At 38.5% G+C, this 22,848-nt stretch overlaps 2 protein-coding genes across 52 annotated transcripts in view; one reads left to right on the forward strand and one right to left on the reverse strand.

Moving 5' to 3' along the window:
- The window catches only part of DOP1A (DOP1 leucine zipper like protein A), a 103,680-nt gene extending 101,901 nt beyond the window's left edge, over positions 1-1,779 (forward strand). For all 35 annotated transcript variants that reach the window (NR_169791.1, XM_017010559.2, XM_017010564.2 and 32 more), the window contains one exon: positions 718-1,779. The gene's annotated coding sequence lies outside the window, so the exon portion shown is untranslated. The remainder of the gene's footprint in view (positions 1-717) is intronic.
- PGM3 (phosphoglucomutase 3) overlaps positions 1-22,848 on the reverse strand; it is a 45,196-nt gene that overhangs the window by 20,867 nt on the left and 1,481 nt on the right. For 7 of the 17 annotated variants that reach the window (XR_007059271.1, XR_007059272.1, NR_159812.2 and 4 more), the window contains exons 2-12: positions 21,238-21,443; positions 19,043-19,227; positions 17,437-17,504; positions 13,274-13,407; positions 12,165-12,360; positions 10,239-10,396; positions 9,102-9,185; positions 6,391-6,489; positions 4,803-4,916; positions 2,366-2,488; positions 734-907 (exon numbers count right to left, since the gene is read on the reverse strand). Coding sequence is in view for 10 of the 17 variants with exons in the window: in NM_015599.3 (NP_056414.1) it covers positions 734-907; positions 2,366-2,488; positions 4,803-4,916; positions 6,391-6,489; positions 9,102-9,185; positions 10,239-10,396; positions 12,165-12,360; positions 13,274-13,407; positions 17,437-17,504; positions 19,043-19,227; positions 21,238-21,441 (1,539 nt within the window). In the remaining 7 variants the exon portion in view is untranslated. Of the gene's footprint in view, positions 1-729; positions 908-2,365; positions 2,489-4,802; positions 4,917-6,390; positions 6,490-9,101; positions 9,186-10,238; positions 10,397-12,164; positions 12,361-13,273; positions 13,408-17,436; positions 17,505-19,042; positions 19,228-21,237; positions 21,444-21,615; positions 21,753-22,848 lie in introns of all 17 variants that reach the window. The other 10 variants (XR_007059270.1, XR_942480.3, XR_001743468.3 and 7 more) reach the window with 5 other exon arrangements.

Here is a 22,848-nt window from a genome sequence, read left to right on the forward strand (position 1 = left end):
TCATTCCACAACTGAAAAAATTCAATAAAACTTTAATCCACAATTGGCCTAACAGTAAGTAAGTACTAATGCCTCTGTTGCCATCTCCTCATCCATCATGGATATTCATTAGACTCTGAGATGGCTTAAGCTTCTGCAGGAAAGCTGCCAAATGTCTCCTCCTGATTCCCTATTCAGCGCACTCACTGTACTTTGCCCTGGCTTTGCACACACTTTAAGGAGTATGTGAAGAGGCCAAATAATAAAAATCCAGACCACAAGTCTTGACCCCTGTCAGGGAAACAGGCACAGAGTAAGGCTGTCATTTAAAGGAAATATTTTGAAAAACAAATCAAGAGTCCAGAATGCTATCAGTTGACTTAGAAATGAACTACAAAGCTGGTTGTTTTCATGTCACAAGAGTATATTTTTAAAAGAAGAGAAAAGGATCATCTACCTTATAGTGCATAAACTAAGTATTTATTAGTTATTCCTGCCATGGTTAAAAATATGACACTTTCAGGAAGTCTAGAATAAGTCAAAAATATTTGGGGAAATAAACTAAGTGGGTCTAATTTTGTTAAATTGTATAATTACTGCTGGTGAAAATAATTTTGTAGTCTTAATGTGAACCTAAAAGGCTCAACAAAATAAAGCCTTAATCATCATAGTGAGATTCTAAAAACCATTAAAATAGTTTGCCTGCCCATCACCTAATATTAGGCTCTTTTTCAATAGAACTATCCCAGCTTACTTGTGAGTCTGCTTCTGCATATACTCGGACGACATCTTCTGTACCAGAGGGCCGGACAAAAGCTCGAGAAAGCTTGTACTTCTTCACCAGGTCATTGATTGCCTCCTGTAATCCTGGGGGTGTAACTGCTTGTCTTTCAGCATCGGTAGTGCTAATAACTCTCCTGTCTGCAACCTAAGTGCAAGCATTTCATATTTGTTACTCTATTACACTTCCTTTCAGAAGCTTAACCTGTTAAACATACATTCTACGAAAAGTGCCAGACTAAATATAAAATTACATTAAAACTTCTTTCTCCAAGGTCAGGGTAATTAATTTCAACATTTGTGCAACTTTTCTCTTTTTCTTCAGTCTATAAAGAATTACCTTTGGCAAAAAATATTTCCACAAATGCTTAGAGTTACCACTAAGATAATGGCCAGTAAATACGATATGACTAAGTCCCATATCACACACAAAAACAGGATAAGTGGTAGCCCATTATATAAGAAGACCGATAAGAATTTCTTAAATATGCCAAAAATAATCTGAACAATCAGCCATTTCTGTGAACTGTGGCTTTAGTACCTCCAATTGTCTTTCACAAATTCTGTTGGTGAATGTGTAAACTGGCATAAACATGTACAGAAATCAATTAGCAATTTATCTGAATTCTCTCCCTCAGGAAGTACTCTGTGAACTAAACATAATGCAGAGTAAGTACTTTCACTTGAAATGACAGGGCATCTGAGTTTTGCTTCAAAATAATGTTGGGGCCAGGTGCAGTAGCTCACACCTGTAATCCTAGCACTTTGGGAGGCCAAGGGAGAAGGATCACCTGAGCTCAGGAGTTCAAGACCAGCCTAGGCAACATAGTGAGATCTCGTCTCTAAATAAAATATACAAAAGAGTATTGGGAGGGGGTATGAAGAATGTATAGGGCAATAATTGAAATCTGTTGAAGCTGGGTACACAAAAGTTCATTATGTTGTTTCTCTACATTTATATCTATTTTTAATTTTTTTATATCTATTTTTAATTTTCCATAATAAAATCTCTTTAAAAAAGTGATGCGTCATTCATATTATTTATTATATCATAAAGTTGGAAACCAAATACTTCACAGACAATAGAATGTTAAGTAAATGAACTTAGTTATTCTATAATTTTTTTTTCAGCTGTAAGAGAATACAATTAGGTATCATAAGGCCTTCTTTTTTTGTTTTGAGACGGAGTCTCGCTCTGTCGCCAGGCCAGAGTGCAATGGCATAATCTCGGCTCACTGCAACCTCTGCCTCCCAGGTTCAAGTGATTCTCCTGCCTCAGCCTCCCAAGTAGCTGGGACTACAGGTGTGTGCCACCACGCCCAGCTAATTTTTGTATTTTTAGTAGACAGGGTTTTACCATGTTGGCCAGGCTGGTCTCAATCCCTTGACCTCATGATCCGCCCGCTTTGGCCTCCCAAAGTGCTGGGATTAAAGGCATGAGCCACGAGCTACTGCGCTTGGCCCATAAGGCCTTATTTTCTATGTATCATATGTGTATGTACAGAATGAAATAGGAAACATATGTCAGTGAGATATAATGAGAATTGGGATAATAGGTTTTACTTAGCTAATATTCAAAAAAGTTACTTTAAAGTTTCTCTCACACCTGAACTTTAAGTTGTCTGTTTGGAAGATCTGTATAGAGAGCATCCCACTGTTGTACAGTCAAGCCCTTCAGAGCCAAGATTGCTTCAATCACCAGCATGTCAGAAATAGCATCACCAGCTGCCTGCAAATGGGGAAACAAATGGAAGAAACCACTTAACACAAGCAAATCTTGGAAATGGATGTTTTTTCTTAGAAAACCAATCACAGTACAGGTTGAACAACCTGAATCTGAAACATGCTGAGTGCCAAAATAATCACAAGTGAAAAATTCCACACCTGGCCTCCTGTGACAGGTCAAAATGTGGGTATACAACTGCCAGGTGTGGTGGCATACACCTACAGTCCCAGCTACTCAGGAGAGGCTGAGATGGGATGATTACTTGAAGCTAGGAGTTTGAGGCTGCAGTGTGCTGTGATAATGCCTGTGAACAGCCAATGCACTCCAGCCTGGGCAACATAGCAAGACCTTGTCTCTTAATAAAAAACAAATGCACTCCTGACCTCACTGTCAGGAATTTGAAACCAGCCTGGCCAACATGGTAAAACGCCATCTATACTAAAAATACAAAAATTAGCTAGGTGTGGTAGTGGGCGCCTGTAATCCCATCTACTCGGGAGGCTGAGGCAGGAGAATTGCTTGAGCCCGGGAGGCAGAGGTTGCAGTGAGCCAAGATTGCGCCACTGCACTCCAGCGTGGGCAACAGAGCGAGACTCCATCTCAAAACAAAACAACAACAACAACAAAAAAAACCCACTAAAGGCAGGCCCGCAGTTCATTCAGCATCCCCAAGGGAAAAAGACCCTCTCAGCCTCCTTCAGCTATGATACATCGTTTCCATGCATGCCAGATATGTATCATATTTTTTACTATTAAAATACTTGTGTGTGAATAAGTGTAAAAAAATGATTGATTGCTTATTGATTGATAGCATATAAATTCAGAGTTTTAGGAATGATGGTGATGCCAGACAACCACAGATTGTCCAACGGGTGGCTGACAGAGTGACACCTTTGCTTTCTGATGGTTCAGTAGACACAAACTTTGTTTCATGCACTAAATTTACAGTATTCTATAAAACCACCTTTAATCTTATGTAACATACATGAAACAAAAGAATTTAGTGTTTCCGACTTGAGTGCCATACCCAAGATGTCACATTATATATATGCAAATATCCCAAAATCCAGTGAATCTGGAACCCAAAACACTTCTAGTCCCATGCATTTTGGATAAGGGATACTCAGCCTATATCATGTGCTTTCTCACATGCAGCATGATTAAATGAAGTGTTTTTGTGGATGGATAAAATACGAACAATGAGGTGAAGATCTCTGTGGAAGACAATGAAAGGTATAACAAAGAATACTGAAACTAGCTCTTGAGAAACTTGCCTTTAGTACTCCTTATTTATAAAATGAAATTAGACTGGATAACTCTAAGGCTCAGCCTAACATTCCATCACTCATTTTTCTTTTTATAAATAGATCCCTTTTGAGATATTACCCCACAATGATTGATAGAAAGCATCAAGGTAAAATGGAGAAATATGAGCTTTGGTATAAGATATAACTGAAGATAAATCTCTGTTTCTTCACTTATAAAATGGAAATTACAGTAACACCTCTCCCTGTGTTACTGTAAGGATTACACAGCAAGGTATATAAAGTGTCCAGTGTGTGCAAGACACTCAAATAATTGAATCGCTTTCCTCTACCCTGAGTACTGCTTTTCCATAGCCAAACGACACTCCAACCCCAACTAACCCACATGTATGTCCTTTGTCAATGAGACAACCAGTTATTTGTGTTTGTTTTTGAGACAGAGTCTCGCTCTGTCACCCAGGCTGGAGTGCAGTGGCGTGATCTTGGCTCACTGCAAGCTCTGCCTCCCGGGTTCACACCATGCTCCTGCCTCAGCCTCCCGAGTAGCTGGGACTACAGGTGCCCGCCACCATGCCCGGCTAATTTTTTGTATTTTTAGTAGAGACGAGGTTTCACCCTGTTAGCCAGGAGGGTCTCGATCTCCTGACCTCGTGATCCGCCCTCCTTGGCCTCCCAAAGGGCTGGGATTACAGGCATGAGCCACCGTGCCTGGCCTGACAACCAGTTATTTTTACTTAATTTCATCGAGGTTTGGTTAAAAAAAAATTAATAATATATATGTATACACTGAGTAGCTGAATCTGTGATCCTAGGTAGAAGCTACCCAATATACTTGAAAATTTCCATCATAAGAGGTAGGGGAAGGGAAGCATATTAAAAAATGTTCTGTCATTCCATTTCATTATAAATCTCAACTGAATATACCACTATTAGAAGGAAGCCACCAGGCCAGGACGTCTCCACTTTAATTTTGTATGCACCCACACTCTGTTCTGTCCATCTTCTGAATAATGTAAAGGTAACCAAGAGTCCACTGCCCCATCAGTTCTGACCTGGTTAAACAAGTCAATAATGTTTTCAAGCATCTTAGCAGCTTTTCTTTTCTTATCTTCCAGTTGTTCTGCTGATTGTTTTATCTTCATTTCAACAGCTGTACTAAACAGTGCCTGCAGCAAAAGAATATAAAATCAGTCTCAAAACACTATCCAAAACCTAGTCATAAGTACTATTATTCTAGCTAACCCACTTTTCCCTCCTAGTCAATCTGGAGAAACTGAGGGGAAAAATAGTGGCAGCCTTAAAATGTATGAAATTAATGTAAGATCACATTAAAACCCAGAGGATAGTACTAGGGGAAAAATTTTATTTGCGGATTATATAACTGGTTATAAAAATTTAAACATCTGATTACAAAGAAAACACCACCTTGACAAGAGGCAAGCACACACAGTAAGTTCATGTTTTCCCTTTAACCAGCTAAATCATTTCTGTGCAACCAGGTTACTTAGAGCCTGTCTGTATCCTTTTTACTTTGAAGGATATAATTCATTGCAGCTAGTATAGTTTTATTCTAAAACTTAAGGGGATGAGCTAGGCAAAATTAAGAGTTCATAGTATTCATCAAAATATGGCAAATAATGTCATGGATAGTCATTACAATATATAATTCATCATGCTCCTCAAGAGTCTTATCTCATTTGGAAATACTCATCTTTTTTACTGCCTTCTAGAGGCCTAATACTGAGCAAGATTAGCATACTATGCTCAACTACTTGATGAAATACATTTTTCTTGATAAAATAAGGCACAGGCTAGTCACCTGTTTTTGTAAAGTTTTACTGGAACACAACCACACAGATTCATTTAAGCTAGATCAGCAGAGTTAAACAACTGTAAGAGACCTTATGGCCTGAAAATCCAAAAATATTTACTCTCTACCCTTTAGAAAATAATTTACCAACTTCTCCATTCGATCACTAAAGTTATATCTTAATTGCATTTTGTAGGAACTTATTTTTCCCCTTTTTATATTTATGCCCTCCAAAAGCCAATTTTAAATTAATGAGGAAAATTATTTGGCTTTGATTCAAATGTTCTGATAGCCACCTCAAGTGTATTCATTAAATGAGGTGAGTATAAAAACATTTTAAAAATATTCTGAACATTATGAATCTACAAAAAACTAAATTATACACTTTAAAATGTAATTTTATGTAAAATGTAAATTGAAACATTTTATGCCTATCACTAGTTACCTTAAATTCATTTTCATTTCTTATTAATTATCAACTTTCCAACACTTTGCAATTCACCATAGCGACTGAATTTTTCTTTTCCTCTCCTATGGCCAGCCGGAAAATGCATAGACAACATACTTATAAAAAAATTAAGAACTGTAAATTTTAAAAAACTATTCAAAACACCTTAGTATATCTCTTCACATTCAAAGAAGAATCATTACCATGTAAAAGAGAATCACAGTTTCATAATACATCAATATATAAGATAACCAAAGGATCTTTTTGTCACATCCAATTATTTCAACAAAGTACAATATTACCTATTATTACCTCCCAGATATAGAAGTCTCATCATAAAGAAAAGTGCCAGCTAAGGCCAACTATAATTAAGAGAACTTACAGTGCCATGCCCATTTGCTTCAAAATAAACTCCAATGTCAAACTCTTGAGCCTTGTGGTGCAAATGTTTTACACCAGTCTTAGTGCAATAGACAGGTACCTATAACACATGCATTTAAAGAAATACAGCAATTACTCAGATGTCAAATGTTTCTTGCATACCTAGTATCCCAGAGATACAAAGGGGAACAAAATACTGGGGCCGAGTCCAGTGAGGAAGACGATTAAGCATTAAAATACAAAATGGTACGTATACAATGGAAGCATGAACACACTCTGGAAGCACGCAGCCAAGGGTAAAGCACGGTGAGAGAGATGAGGGTCTCCTTATAAGACACGAAAGATTACAAGTGGGGGCGTGACATGACCTAACTGTTTTAGAAAGCTGTTTAGCTACAGTGTGGAGAATAGCTTAGAGCAGAATTGCAAGCTTTTTCTGTAACAGGCCAGACAGTAAATATTTTAGGCTTTGCAGGCCATATGGTCTCTGTCACAATTACTCTGCCATTACAGTGCAAAAGCAGCCACAGACCATACATAAACAAATCAACATAGCTCTATTCCAATAAAACTTTGTTTGCAAATAGCAGCAAGTTCAATTAGAAGGTTAAGAAATGGAATGAGGAGGCTTCTAGGACTAATCCCAGTAAGAAATAGTGGCTGGATCAGCAATAGTGAATAGGGAAAGTCATGGATGGATGGATCTGAGAGAGCTTTAAGAATGGTTAAGGAAAGATTGATAGTAGAAAAACTGCAAAAGAAAGATCAGCATTAGATTGGATGTAGGAGACCTCAGGAATGGCAAGGGCTAAAAATATTTCATCTGGAAGACAGTGAGTTGAGAAGTAACAGTTTCTTAAACTAGGTTATTTTATCTGTAATAAATTTTTAAGACAGAAAATGAAAATCCTAAAACAATAACCCAAGTACTGTGAAATAACCCAATCCCTGTGAAAGGCAGGCAAATGGGCCCCAGATGGAATCCCTTGAATGAGCTTATTATAACCATATATTAAAATCAGGTCATAAACTAGCAGCCTCAAGATATATTTCGTTTTGCCCAGCCACTGTTTCTTTTTAAACAAATAGGAACATCACATGAAAATTCAGATTTCCTGCTTCTCTTGAAGAGTGTGACTACAGTTGACATCAGCTGGCACATACTGACCTGTTTTTAGCCCCCTGCTGCCCTCATTCACTTTACCTGTCCAAATCCTGCAGGAATCTGACTTTGTAATTCCTGCTTTCTAGAGAATGGAAAGGTAACTAAAACTAGTATAAATGCCAGAACGAGGTACAAAATGAGGTACAAAAAAGTTGGAAAACTTCTCGATAATGAGAAAGTATAGGCAAACAGACTTCCAGTTTTGTCCATGAACCCTGGTAACTCTCCGAGCAAGTAGTGTGGTGCCAAGGGTGGTCACCTGGTGGACACCGGGGAAATAATTAGAAACAGAATCTCCCACCACCCCAGAAAACCTCTCCAAAAAAAAAAGAAGGGTAAGAAACAGTTTTATTACTGAATAAGTATTAAGCCAAACTGATGTTCAATCACAGGCTAATTTGCTAAGAGATAGCAAAGATAAACGCTCACCCTTTAATATAGCCAAGCGGACACATTCCAATACAATTTGCTAAGATAAAAGATGGCTAATGACAAAAATTCTCTCCTTGACCAAACTTTAGTTAGGTTTAGGTGGGCCTGACTAGGCCTTGTCCTTAGGCATGTCTTCCAATAGCCCGATTTTAATAAGAGTCATGCTAAGTGAGCTTAGCGAGAATCCCTCATCCTGATACATGACCACTCTTGACATCTGATCTGAGTTCTCATTCTCTACCATCCCCCAGGTAATATGTGACCGCCCTGGCCTACCTTCAGCAAAAGTCCTGTTAGATCAGTTTAGCCAAAATACCACCCACTTACCCTCATGTTTCCTCTCAGTAATTTTTCATCCACTGACCACCCCCCACACACCCTGCTCCTTGGCTATAAAGCCCTACTTTTCCTTACTATATTTGGAGTTGAGCCCAATCTTTCTCCTACCACTGCAAAACTCCATCACATTAGTCCCTGTACCTATCACAACAGTCCTGAATCAAGTCTGCCTTACCATTTTAACAAGTGTCATGAATTATTTTTTCTTTAACACTAGTCCTCAAATAGGAAAACTTGAAACCACCATTTGTCACACACATAGTTTATCCTAAACTTACTTGGTAATAGGGATGGCCACCTGTGTTAACTGCCCTTCTCTAAAGGAGTAATAAAACTTTTCATACCTCTGTGACAGGTAGATAGTTACAAATTGGACGCAAACACCTAAGTTAAACTCTCCTGAGACTGGGAGATAGGTGAGCTATCTTCCTTGATGTTTATATTTGAAATTGGTGACTCTAGGCCCTTAAAGAAAAGTATTCCTGAGCTATAAAACTGGCTTATTAGGCCTTTAGAAAGACTTACATTCATTACAAAGGCACAGAGAAAGAATTCCAAGTTTTCTAAAGGAAAACTCCAAGAAAAGGAAGGAAAGAAGTTTTCCTTTATTCATCAAGGACAACTAAATTTTTTCTTATTTATTTCTCTTTACCTTTACATGAACAGCAGCTCAGCTTCATGCACTACAACATAATCACTTTTATGAGGGCAGTATCTTTCTCACAGAAACATGATCTTAATTAAGAAACTACCAGAAAACAAAAATGGTTCAATACCTTCATAACTTCTTCAAGATACCGTGTTGAACTTCCATTTGCATATGCAGTTTGTACAACACCAATATTCAAACTTTCTCCAATCTAGACAAAAACAATGATACTTAACTTGCCATCAAAAGTATGGTCTACAAAAACAAATATAATGAGAGTTCTAAAGGCTACCAAAATTATCAGCCAGTTCAGTTGTGCCTTAGTTTATGCCAAAAATGTCTGACTGAAAATTTACATGTATGCCAGGAAAAAAGCCTAAAATACATTTGAACACTATTTAAAACAATTCTATGAGAATTCCTCTTTTAAGAAGCCTGTATCTCCTGATCTTCACCTCTTTAATTTTTTAAATAAAAGTATCTGGCCAGGCACGGTGGCTCACGCCTGTAATCCCAGCACTCTGGGAGGCCAAGGTGGGTGGATCACCTGAGGTCAAAAGTTCGAGACCAGCCTGGCCAACATGGTGAAACCCCATCTCTACTAAAAGTACAAAAATTAGCCAGGTGTGGTGGCATGCATCTGTAATCCCAGCTACTTGGGAGGCTGAGGCAGAAGAATTGCTTGAGCCCAGGGAGGCAGAGGTTGCAATGAGCCGAGATCACGCCCCTGCACTCCAGCCTGGGCAACAGAGCAACACTGTCTCAAAAAAAAAAAAAAAAAAAATCTATTAAATTCTTAAAGTATGCTGTTTCCAGATTATAATAATTTCCAATTACATTGTGTACTTAAAGCTAGCCTGAGATTTATTTCTAAAATAGCAAAATGAAACAAATCTCACATTACTAAGCTTATCATAATCAGTTAATATATCAGATGATGAGATTTCCTATTAGAATTTAGGGCTTTTATGGAGTGACCACAGAACTGTCATCAAAGTTTCAATTATGATGGAAGCAAAACTTCCTAAAGCTTCAAATCACAAAACTCAGCCAGTATAAGGAGGAAAAGAGTACCTTCAGGTTCCAAAGCCAATGCCTCAAATGTTCAAATGACTGGGTATTACCACTGCTCTTTTTTTAATTTTCTGCCCACTAATGTAAAGAATTTGTCATAAATTGTGCCCTTCTGACAAATGATTGTAAAATATGGAACTATTTCACTACTAAGTCTTGTTTTAGAGGGTAGCCAATCCCCCCACCATACCTCCACCAGGAGCTCTTTAAGGAAACTGCTAATTAACGTTGCTATCTTGTCTCCATCTATGAGATGAAAGTGGCCATCTGCATCATGGTAGTAATAAACAATTCTGTCTGCATCTCCATCAAAAGAACAGCATCTTTCATTGGACTTAATTTCCATTCCTAGCACACAGGATAATTTAACATGCATTTCAGTCTAAGAATTTATTATAAAGAGTTTTAGAATTTTCTCTTAAAATTATCCACCTAAAAATCAATGTCTTAATCTTAAATAGTGTATAATCTTTAAATAGTACATAGTTTATTAGTGGTTTTTACAGGTCAAATTCTTTCACTGCAAAGTGAAAAAAGGAGCATTCAAAATCTATGCTGATATTTGCTATAATACTACCATAAAATTCCACTTTATAAGCAGGTTGGTTTGGCTAGACAGGTGTCCCATAAAGGTTTTTTGAAAGCTACATGTATTTCTGAATGTAATTTACCTAGGACCGTGATCTCCTTTACATAGAAAAAATAATCAGCACTAGATGATGTATGTGCTTTAATTCTAACAGAAATGATTTTTATTTGTTCATACCACCAATAAAAAGAAACACTGATAATTAAGAGCAAAGAATTATAACTTTGAGAGATAACTGGCCTGTGAAATTTACATAAAGTTGCTGAAATCTCAGCAATTGTCACATCAAATTTATTAGAAAATTTGGCTATTCCTTAGCCATGACAGCAGCAGAGTGACAAATTCAACATGAGACAACTAAGAAGTAAAAGGCTTTTGTCAGGAATGGGATCATAAGATTGATGAAAGGACATGATGCAAGCTTCAGGAAAGCAAGGACTATGGTTTTGTTCATACTGTAGTCCCAAAGCCTAGAGCATAGAGAGTAAGAGCTCAGTATTTAAGAAATGGATAAATAAGTGGCAGAACTGAACTGTCAAGTAAATGTCAAAACAAGCAATTCAATGAAAAGGAGCTCAAATTGGTTGACTACACTGACATTTTAAATGCTTACTAAGTAAAGCATAATAACATGAATGAATGAGGCAACTGGATGAAGTCTGTAGAGTTCCAGAATGCATGTCCTATTTTAGGGGAGCAGCATCTATCTGACTGTAGTGGACTAATGCCATGTGTGAACATTTTCTGATTTTGGTAAAGAGATGCTAGAGATTCCAATATATAAGAGAAGTCACGGAATTTTTAAACAGTGGCACACAGACAAACACACAAATGCAGCCAGCCAAACAAAACATATCTGCAAGTCAGGTTTGGCCTAAGCAAATAATTTAGGGTCTATAATGCAGATAAATCCAGAACACCTCTTACTACAACTAAAATCTGAAGAAAAGTCTTCCTCCTATTCTGCACTGAGTGGAAAACACTGATTGCTAACAACTGTATAAGCAGAGTTACATTTGCTTTCCATAGTGTATTTAATTCAGATAAGGTATCTAATAATACTTACTATGCTCCCCTGTAGATCTGTGATTCTCAAAAAGGGATCCCCAGACAAGCACTGGGAACAAAGCCTGCAAACTTGATAGAAATGCAAATTTCTATCATATGCAAATCCTATGCCAGACCTCCAGAAACTCAGAAGTGGAGCCCAGGAATCTGTGTGCTAACAAGCCCTCAAAGTGATTCTGACACATGCCAGTTTGAGAACCACTGCTCTAGAATGCCATTTCCTGACTTTGCTTTCCCCACCTGATTTCCTGTAGACTATGAGGAATGGTGTGATTTACAGGCAGAGAGAGCAGACCATGTTTCAATGGCTCTGAGAGTGGGAAGACTTCTCAATGTCTAAATGTGGCAGAGCCAGGAATAGCTGCAAGATTCTTAACTCACTTTACCACCTTAGTTTATAAGTGAGATTGGCTTCAAAGAGCATTAAAAACAAATTTTTGCAGTGCTAGTACGACATACCCTGTGGAGGTTTCTGATGACTTTTCACAAAGTCAGCTCCACATAAATGATTGAGTTTGCCCTTGGACCCATCATTAAACAGCTGAACTGACAGGCCCTGTGAGAAGTAGTGTTCCATTTCCCTTAGCTTCAGGGCCCCTATGCCATTTGCACAGTCAACCTTAAGTGATCTGTATTCATCTCCACTGCAAGAAGCCTACAAAGGAAAAAGACACATGGAAGAAAAATTTCAAGTTATAAAAATAAATGTGAAATATAAAGCATATATACATATGTGCATATGTAAATATTTAGTTAACTCATTTTAATTTTTAAATTTTATCAATTATAATTGTGTTCATTTTTCAATTTTTAAAATTATAAAACACTAAAGTAAAATTTAAAAACACCTGGAACAACAGAATAGTTTTGCTGATTGAACAACTTATAGCATAGAGCTTTATTAGAATTTAGTCTCAATTAACAGGGTCTCTTAAAAGTAATATTACAAGGGAGCCATTCAAATGCAAGAATAAGCACACAGACAAATGGGCAGTAATGACATGTCATTCTTTTTATAGTATGTGACATCATCATCAGGCAGATTTGTTTTTTTTCTAATTGTCTCCTCTCCCAGCTATCCTCACCCCAAATTATAAGTTCTATGAGAGCAAGGGCTTTTAGTTAATTGTGCCTGGTAAGGACATATACTCAATATTTGTTGATCAAACGAATTATACTTCTCAAATCTCTCTACATTTAACAAGCCAATATACCTAGAAGAAAATCTCAATAGTACATGCCTCAGGTATTAAGCCAACAGCACCTACATTAACTAAGATCAAATTCATCTGAATGAATACTTATGATACCATCGTCAAGACCCCCACCATGTTTGCTTCCCCAAAGTATCTCAGAATGTACTACATAATTTGCCAAGTAAACGCCAATGTAAGTTAGCAGGATACATAGACCAGAACCTTGTGTAGCCCTAGAGAAAAACAAAAAAGGAGATATGCAGCATCTTTGGAAAAGGAAAGAGGAGGCATGACAAACAAGATAATTTGTTCAGTAGACCATGTTACTTTATTCATTTGTTTAACTTTAACCATGTTCAATAAACTTTTCACCTGTTTGGTGAGTTCCACAAAAGCCTTAGAGAGTTTCTGGTAGTAACCTTCTATAGTTGCCTTTCCATATCGGCCACCCGTGTTTCGACAATACACCATGTAGTGCAGCTGGGGTGTTGTTAACAAGCCATAATCTGTCATAGAAATACAAAAAGCAATTCACCGCATTTCTTAACAAAGAGAAAAAAGTTTAAATGCATTCATGTGTAGGAATTTCAGGGTGACAAATCCTTTTGTGTCATCTCAGACATCTTAGAAAACATAAAAATGATCTTAAAAAGAAATATAAATGACTATAAGAAGCCAAAAAACCAATCATTACATATAAACAGGTAACAATGTAAATATAAAGCAATACAGACAAGTAATAATTGAGTTCTGTTTCCAGTAACATTGCAAACTACATAATTCAGATGAATCATCCTCCTGGAAACAACCAACATGCTAGATAAAAGACAAAAACCTCCTTTTAAAAAGAACTACAGTGCTGAAAAGTGACAGAATTATCAGGCCAAAACATACCCGAAGGCAAGAACTCCAAGATCTAAGCTAGTTCGGAAGCCAGTTTTGTTCTGAAGTTATTCCTCTAAACTAGAAATTGAGCTACGGTTTTCAGAGCAAAAAAAGCCCATGCTGATCTAAGATGCAGAACCCAGTAGAAGACCAGACTCTCATGAAGTTGAAATCCCAAAGAACTATATCTTCAGTCCGAGGATGAGTCAGAAATTAATCACCCCATGTCACCATTCCCAGGACAGTTATCTTAACACTGAGCAGGGAAGACGGGAAAACCCATTCTTGAAGAGCTGTTACCAAGCACAGGCCCTTGCATGGACTTCCTGCCCAACATACATAACCACAGGAGTCCAAAGGAACTTTGTCATGAATTTTTTTTTTTTGAGACGGAGTTTCACCGTATCGCTCAGGCTGGAGTGCAATGGCGCAATCTCAGCTCACTACAACCTCCACCTCCCAGCCTCAAGTGATTCTCCTGCCAAGTAGCTGAGATTACAGGCACCCACCACCACGCCCGGCTAATTTTTGTATTTTTAGTAGAGACAGGGTTTCATCATGTTGGCCAGACTGGTCTCAAACTCCTGACCTCAAATGATCCACCCACCTCATACTCCCAAAATGCTGGGATTACAGGCATGAGCCACCACACCCGGCCTGTCATGAATCAATTTAAAGTGAACCCAGCCAGTGCCCCAGGTACCCAGCAGAAGCCAGACTAAACTTTACCAAAGGACTATACTTTCATTGTAAACCTCAAAAACGTCCCATAATTTTCAAAAACAAAAAGAAAGAAAACCAGCTTACAGTTAAACATAGCTAACATATAAGAAAAGCACCATGAGCAAAAAACAAAGAAAAATGGATCGCAAAGATGGACCAGTAACCAATAAGTAAATACTCAGTGACTACACCTGTCAGTTGGACCTGAACCTCAAACACAAGAATTTGACTGCAGGCAAAAAGGAGTCACTTTAAATTCTTGAGCCCTGAAGTTATTTAACAGAAATGGTACCTTATGAAGGCAACCTTAGCTCTGGTATAATGATGAGATGGGAGGAGATGGAGAAGCTCAAAAAATACAAATAAGAGCTTAGATTAGTTTAATGGAAGTGTTTACTAGAGGAACCCATTATTCTAAAAGACATGCTAAAGTAAGAAACAAAATAATTTTGTGACCAATATCAAAATTACCAAATAAACATTTACTAAATGACTAGTATATATACCCAGTGAAAAGCATTATCTATCCAACTCATCAACTCAGAAACCTGGAATGTGTTCTTCACAGTTCTGTTCTCCCCATATATCACAAAATCCTTTGAATGCAATACCAATTTTTCAAGAGCGGCCTAGCTGGTCTGTTTCCCTTTCTTAACAACTTTCCTTTCCCTTCTCTCTGTGACAAACAGAGGGACTGGCTTAAATGAAAATGTGATCATATCACTCTCTTGCATAAAATCCTTCAATGGAGTCCCATTGCATCTGGAATAGAGCCCAAGTTCTTGCCATGACCTCCAAGATTTGTATGAATTAGTCCCACCTTACCTCCCTACTCTCTTCTCCTAGCCCCTCTTCTCCCTATGTTGCAGCTACATTAACCTTTTTTCATTTACTGAAATACACTAAGCTGAAGAGAGAAATGAAGGAAAGGTTAAAAAAATTACTCTCAACTTTTTCTAGACTAAAACACTAGAAGAGTGATGGTTCTAGCGACAGAATGAAAATGCTGAAAAAGACAACCATTCTGGGGATGACAGAAAGAATACAGTTTGGGGCAGGGTGAACATGAGACAGAAGCAGGCCACCTAAGGGAAGACACCACTCAGACCAATGCTTTACAAACTGCAGGCCACAGCCTGCCAATGGGCCATGGAATTTACTTAGTGAGACACAACCAGCATTTGTGCATTTTAAACAGATGACTGCATGTCATGTAGGCTGGATGAGCATTGTTTATTGAAACTATTATTTCAGTTATACACACAAGCACACATTGACATGTCATGACACATAATGGGTTTCTTACTATGGGTTGTGATACACAGTGAAACAGAAATAGACTACTAGAGGGATGTACACAGCAGGTAGTAAAACATGTTTGATGAATTAACAAATGAATGAGGCCGGGCGCAGTGGCTCATGCCTGTAATCCCAGCACTTTGGGAGGCCGAGGCAGGCGGATCACGAGGTCAGGAGATTGAGACCAGTCTGGCCAACATGATGAAACGCCATCTCTACTAATACAAAAATTATCCAGGTGTGGTGGCATGTGCCTGTAATCCCAGCTACTCGGGAGGCTGAGGCAGGAGAATCGCTTGAACCAGGGAGTCAGAAGTTGCAGTGAGCCAAGATCGAGCCTCTGCACTCCAGCCTGGCGACAAAGTGAGACTCCATCTCAAACAATAAATAAATAAATAAGTAAATAAATAAATAAATAAATGAAAAAAGGTAGCTCAAGCTATGGCAGTAGAGATAATCATTCAGAAATCATGCAGAATGAAAGAGGGTCCCGAGGAATGCCCTCCCTGAAAGAGACAGAAGAGGAGCCAACAGAGAAGACCAATATGGAATAGTGGCCAAGCAAGTAGAAGCTCAAAGAAAGAGCTTTAACATTATGGAAAGCTACAAAGACTTCAACTGTAAGATCTTTAAAGCATAAATTATTAAAATTATTTTTAGATCACAGCCCCCTCTGAGTATCTGAGGAGAGGTACGCATGCACTCCCTGGGAAAGTGCTTGTGCCGGCAACACTCTGTACATCGTATCATGAGGTCCACAGGTCCTCTGCAGCTTTCCCAGACATGCCACAGAGGTCCCTGGTTAATAATCCCTACTTTACAATACCCACCAGATTTGGCAATAACAATGCAGATGGATGTCAGGGGTGGGCTGGGGAGACATTTATTTCAAGGAGAGGTAAGGATACAGACTCACCTGCAGAAAGCTGAAGAATGACAGAAGAGGAGGAAACAGAGAAGGTAAGCAGAGCTAGCCCTCAGCAGAGGCCAGACTGACCGTGCAGGAAGGGAACACAGTCGGAACTCGAGAGGAGGTTTCAAAGGTCAAGAGTGGACGTTTGTTTTAATGAGAAAGATCTCACACCAGGAAAATATTCACCTCAAAACATGGTGGAGGCAGTGCCTTCACAACAGACACAGTGTGAGAAGGGGATCCTAGTCTGTTTTGTTTCACTTAATTCTCTGTCATTTGATATAACATAAAGAACTACCTGTCAAAAATATTTCCCATCACTACTTGACAGGTAACAGCTGATTTCACAGGGAACCAGCTATTAGGGAAGACCTAATAATATTGATAAAAGCTCCCCAGAATGATCATCTTCAAGTACTTAAAAAGGTTTTTATTTGAGGAAATTCAGCCTTACCAAAGTAAAGGAAGTTGTATTAGTTCAGAATTTCCCAGCTATAATCTCCTATAGTACTACCATAGGTAAGACAAAACATGCCTGCCCAGAAACGACCTGGAAGATGATTTTTAAAGTTAGTATTTTGTATCTAGGAGTTCATTTTTTAAACATTTTTTGTTCATCTGTATTTTCAAACTTTTCTAAATAAATATACATTACTTTTGTAAATTAAAGTTTTTTAAATATTAGTTTAATTTCCAACTCAGGATAACTACATACCATGGAATTGACCTCCTAGAACAGTCACACCATCTATTACAGATTGTGAAAGTTTCTCACTGCTGGGCCTAGGAAAGAAAAGGAAGAAAATAATATATCCCATCCTGAAACTGGCAGGGTTGCTGGTTCTGCAAGCAAATGCAAAAATTACATGCTACAAATTTCAAAATAGTAAGTTCCTGGTATCTGAACTGAAAGCTATGAACTCTCAAGATAACTGGTAAATTATAAGCATTTTCCAGTAGCCTTTCACAATCTAGTTCTAGGAAAAATTCTGGCTTTTAAATGAATTTATAAAATAGATATAAAGGACACTCTAACCACAGCATACCCAAATACCTTTTCAAGTTCGACTACAGCAACATGTCTGAACTCTAAGAACAGTAACAATAAACACTGAATATACACAGTGTGTATAAGACAGTACTTGTATTAAGCTGCCAAGGATATAGAACCTGTTTTCCATTTTGTAAAGTCAGAACAAATTATCTATCTGAAAATAAAACAGATTACAAAACTGCCTTGGCCAGGCACAGTGGCTCACACCTGTAATCCCAGCACTTTGGGAGGCCGAGGTGGGTGGATCACAAGATTGAGACCATCCTGGCCAACACGGTGAAACCACGTCTCTACTAAAAATACAAAAATTAGCTGGGCGTGGTGGCACACAGCTGTAGTCCCAGCTACTCGGGAGGCTGAGGCAGGAGAATCACTTGACCCTGGGAGTCAGAGGGTGCAATGAGCCAAGACTGTGCCACTGCACTCCAGCCTGGTGACAGAGCGAGACTCCGTATCAAAAAAATAAAAAATAATAAAAAAACTGCCTTGTAGGAAAAAACGTTTCATCACTTACATTAGTTAATAGTTAAGAACCAAATACATGTGGGATGACTTTACTGTGGTGGGATAATTTACTTCAGAACATAAGTTACTCTGCTACCATCGTCGGTATCTGGAAAACCCTCTGGTAATACAACAGAGGGTAAAAAAACCAGTCCAGGTATTGGAGATTGAGTAGAAATTTCCTTTTGAAATAATCTCAGGTTAAAACCAGATCTTATGCAAAAGGAAATGCTACTGTTGCAAAGTATACTTTTCATCTAATATTTTACAAAAAGACATTTTTGTTAAGAAAGGCAAAAGCTGCAAAACAGAACTATGTGGAAAATAATATTGTAGTTTACAGTGAGCTCCAGCATGGGAAAATGATATAAATATTTGAAACAATAATAACACAGATTACAAAGTAAATCTTTAAAAATAATGAGTTCAAATCATGTGTTGACTCTGTAGGGAAAAAAAAATAAACCTACAGAGGGGGTGGGAGACATTTATTGAGTGCTTCTCTTGTGTCAGGAAGTATTTTACATACATTATTCTGCAGCTTGGGTTTTGGAGTAGGGTTTTAAACCAGAGTCAGACTCCAAACCCCAAGCTGCAGTAGTGACTTAGCTACTACATCCTACTAGAAAGGCCAGGCAGGTAGACATGCAACTCAGGGTAGTTCCACTTTACTTCTTTCCATTTGTCTTGGATTAAAACTGATACAATCGTTTATATCACGTTCCCAAAGGTTTTTTTTTTTACCAGTAACTCTTATCATCACCTGGTATCTCTACCAATAACTACAAAGGCATCTTGTTGCAGATTCACAGCTTCTTTCTCGCTGATGTCAATAAGCACTCTCTGCATATCTTGTTCCTCAGCATTTGCTAAACAGGTGGCATGTTCCTCCCAGGATGGTGCCAACATTTCACCCAAAGGATCAACCAATTTTACACCATTGTCTTCCTTAAAAGAAAAACAAACAATAAGCAATCTGTGCATACTCATGAGGCTGAGTTGAGAACAGAACTCAAAAGCTGTTTCCCTTCAACCAAAGACAGTGATGGCTGAGCAGCTTCAACAATAAACACCAAATATTAATACTGGACCCTGGATTAGGTATTTTATGTATATATATTACCTCATTAAATCCTCATGACACACATAATCAATTAAACTAATAATCCTATTTTAATTTCAATCTTCGAGAAAACTGAGCTTCAGAGAGGTTAGGTAATTTGCTTATGATCATACAGCTAACAAATGTCAGTACTGATATTAAAACAGCAAGTCTATCTTACTCGCCTAAAAACACTATGCCACACTAGCCTTTGTAAAAGGCTGTGATCTGTGCATCCACTATCCATAAACTGACTAGGGCACAAGTGGAGCAGAATAAGGGCACACAGAGATCCTTCTCACTATGACTCGGAACTCCAAGAACACACTAGCCAGCTTGTCAACCAGCGGGTAGGACAGACACTGAAAACTGCCTCCCAACACTGTTCTGCTCAAATTCGTGGAAAGAAAGTGTAGTTCACAGTGAATGTCACCTGAAAGAAAAGAGAATCATTTTGAGAAGTGCCTCTGGAACTAGCAATAAATGTGAGGGTCTTCCTAGAAGTCAATCAGTCAATCAATTATGGTGACTTACATATTTAGACATATACACATTTATAATGATCACATATTTGGACAAGCAATGCCCTTGTTTGGGGGAAGAGGAGGTTACAATCCTTCACAGACCTACACCACTTTAACTTGCTGCTGATTTAGCTACAAAGGCAAAAATCCCACAGCCCCAGCAATCAAATAGAAGCATATTATTCAAACCCTGTATTAATGGCCTATAGCTAATAAAGAATAACTACATTGTGTCAAGAGGTTGGCTAAGATATAGAAACAACAAAAGTGCTCATAAACAGATAAATGGATGAAGAAAATGTGGTATATATACACAATAGAATATTATTCAGCCTTAAAAAAGAAATACTGCCATTTGCATCATGGTTGAATCTGGAAGACATTATGCGAAGTTAAATAAGCCAGACACATGAAGACAAATACTGCAGGCTCATAACATACATGTGTTATGTAAAAAAGTGAAACTCACAGAAACACAGAGTAGTATGGTGGCGGCTAGAGGGTAAGGGAAATGGGGAGATGCTGGCCAATGGGCATAAACTTGCAGTTATAAGATGAATAAGTTCTGGAAGACTAACGTACAGCGTGGTGACTATAGTTCATAATAATATATATTGAAAATGTGTTGAGCGTACGTCTTAAGTATTCCCACCACAAAACAAGGTAACTATGTGAGCTAATGGATATGTTAATTAGCCTGATAGTGGTAATCATTTCACAATGTATACATATATCAAAACATGGTGTTGTATGACTTGAATTATACAATTTTTATTTATCACTTATACCTCAATAAAGCTGAAAAAATAATTGTGTCAAAAAGAATACTTTGATTAAAATCTAACTGTCACAAAGACTAGAACTATCAGGCGTCATCAATATTCTGCCAAAGCTCACCTGTTTGTTCATTCAGAACAAGAAATTATTGCCGAGCTATAAAAACCTGTCTGAAAATGTTCAAAATGTTTCTTTTCAAATCTTTACCCTTCCCCACCCAACCCCAATATCTTTAATCACTGCTAAGTTAACAAAGGAAACAATTTTCAATTACTGAAAATGTCTTAAATCAATAAATTTGGAAGGACATTGTTATTTCTCTAATATGGACACTCCAAAAAATGACAGTATCTTTTCATTCTTTCCACACCCTTAGGAATCATGAGCTTAATGATCATGCTCTTAAAAAAAAAAAGTTGTTTCACATCCAAAGCACATATAAATGAGAAGGCACATTCCTAGAATTAGAATTTGTACTTTAGGTCAATTTGCTCAGACACTAAGGCTTGGTCTTGTAAATAATGGTCTGCTTTATCAGGGCACTAAACCCATTACCTCAGGATTGTGGGACGCTGTTACCATGACTCCTATAGTGGATTTTGTCTGTTTTGACCTCAGGACAGCTAATAATCCCATGCGAAACATGACATGATCAAGATGTTCTGCCTTCGTTCGAAATCCAGCAGTCCCGTATTGAAGGATCAGTCCATTGGGCTTGGCGTGTAATGCTGAGTATTTTGTAATAGCACCTAAATCCATGTCTACAAAATTAAGAAATATTGTTTCGGGCATAACAAGTAATTTCTTAAGAACCATTTGCTTCAAAAACTGCCACCCCAAACGAATAGGTCTGTCTCATCCTGAACCTCCTCAAAGAACCCTATGTTTGACAGAGCAATGGGCAGGAGAGTAAGTCCTGTGGGTTAGAATTACCTACAAGATGTTGTCCAACTTGGTATGTCCACTCCTGGGCAGACTCAGGGCAGATAGCAGATTGTCCCCACTCTCCTCCCATTTTAGCTCCAGGACTATCCTGGACGCCGGGCACACTTAAATTGGTCCACTCTCAACTAAAATGAAGATTTTACACCTATTCAGAGACTCCAATGAGCTCAAAGATCATTTCATTTTACAAAAAGGGAAACTAACCTAAATTAACATAGATAGCTGGTGACGGATTGAGGCCTAAAGTCAGATTCTTGAGTGGACTGAAACTACATATCCCCAAATATCTGAGAAATCTTTGTGGTTCTTTTGCTATTTCTCCCAAACTACAGAGACATATTCTTAAAGGAAAAGCAAAAGGCAACAGTTTCTTCTCCAAGACTACCCAGATCTTTTTCCATTTGCTAAAAACAATCAGGACACCCTTCTAAGATGTTGCTCTAAAACTAGCAATATCTTCTTCTGAAAGAATGCCACCTTTTTCCTTTACTTTTAAAAATAAAACATCGGCCGGGAGCGGTGGCTCACGCCAGTAATCTTAGCACTTTGAGAGGCCAAGGCAGGCGGATCACCTGAGGTCAGGAGTTTGAAACCAGCCTGGCCAACATGGCGAAACCGCCTCTCTATTAAAAATACAAAAAAATTAGTCGGGCGTGTTAGCTGGCGCCTGTAATCCCAGCTACTCGGGAGGCAGAGGTTGCAGTGAGCCGAGATCGCGCCACTGCACTCCAGCCTGGGTGACAAAGGGAGACTCGGTCTCAAAAAAAAAAAAAAAAAAAAAAAACAGGCCAGGTGAGGTGGCTCAGGCCTGTAATCCCGGCATTTTGGGAGGCCAAGGCGGGCGGATCACGAGGTCAGGAATTCAAGACCAGCCTGACCAACATGGTGAGACCCTTGTCTCTACTAAAAATACAAAAAGTAGCCTGGCGTGGTGGTGCGCGCCTGTAGTCCCAGCTACTCAGGAGGCTGACGCAGGAGAATCGCTTGAACCCGCGGGTGGAGGTCGCAGTGAGCCGAGATCGCGCCACTGCACTCCAGGCTGGGCGACAGGGTGAGACTCCGTCTCAAAACAAACAACAACAAAAAATCGGCCCTTAGCCCACTAATACTGTTTTCTCTGGGATACTCCCATTAAGTGGAACTTGGGGTTTCCAACCTCAGTCAGTAGTTTTCCTTCAGTAGTCCATATACTACATTTCCTGGGTCAATTAATTCCCAATT

This window comes from Homo sapiens, chromosome 6, assembly GCF_000001405.40.
Source record: "Homo sapiens chromosome 6, GRCh38.p14 Primary Assembly".
NCBI lineage: Eukaryota > Metazoa > Chordata > Mammalia > Primates > Hominidae > Homo > Homo sapiens.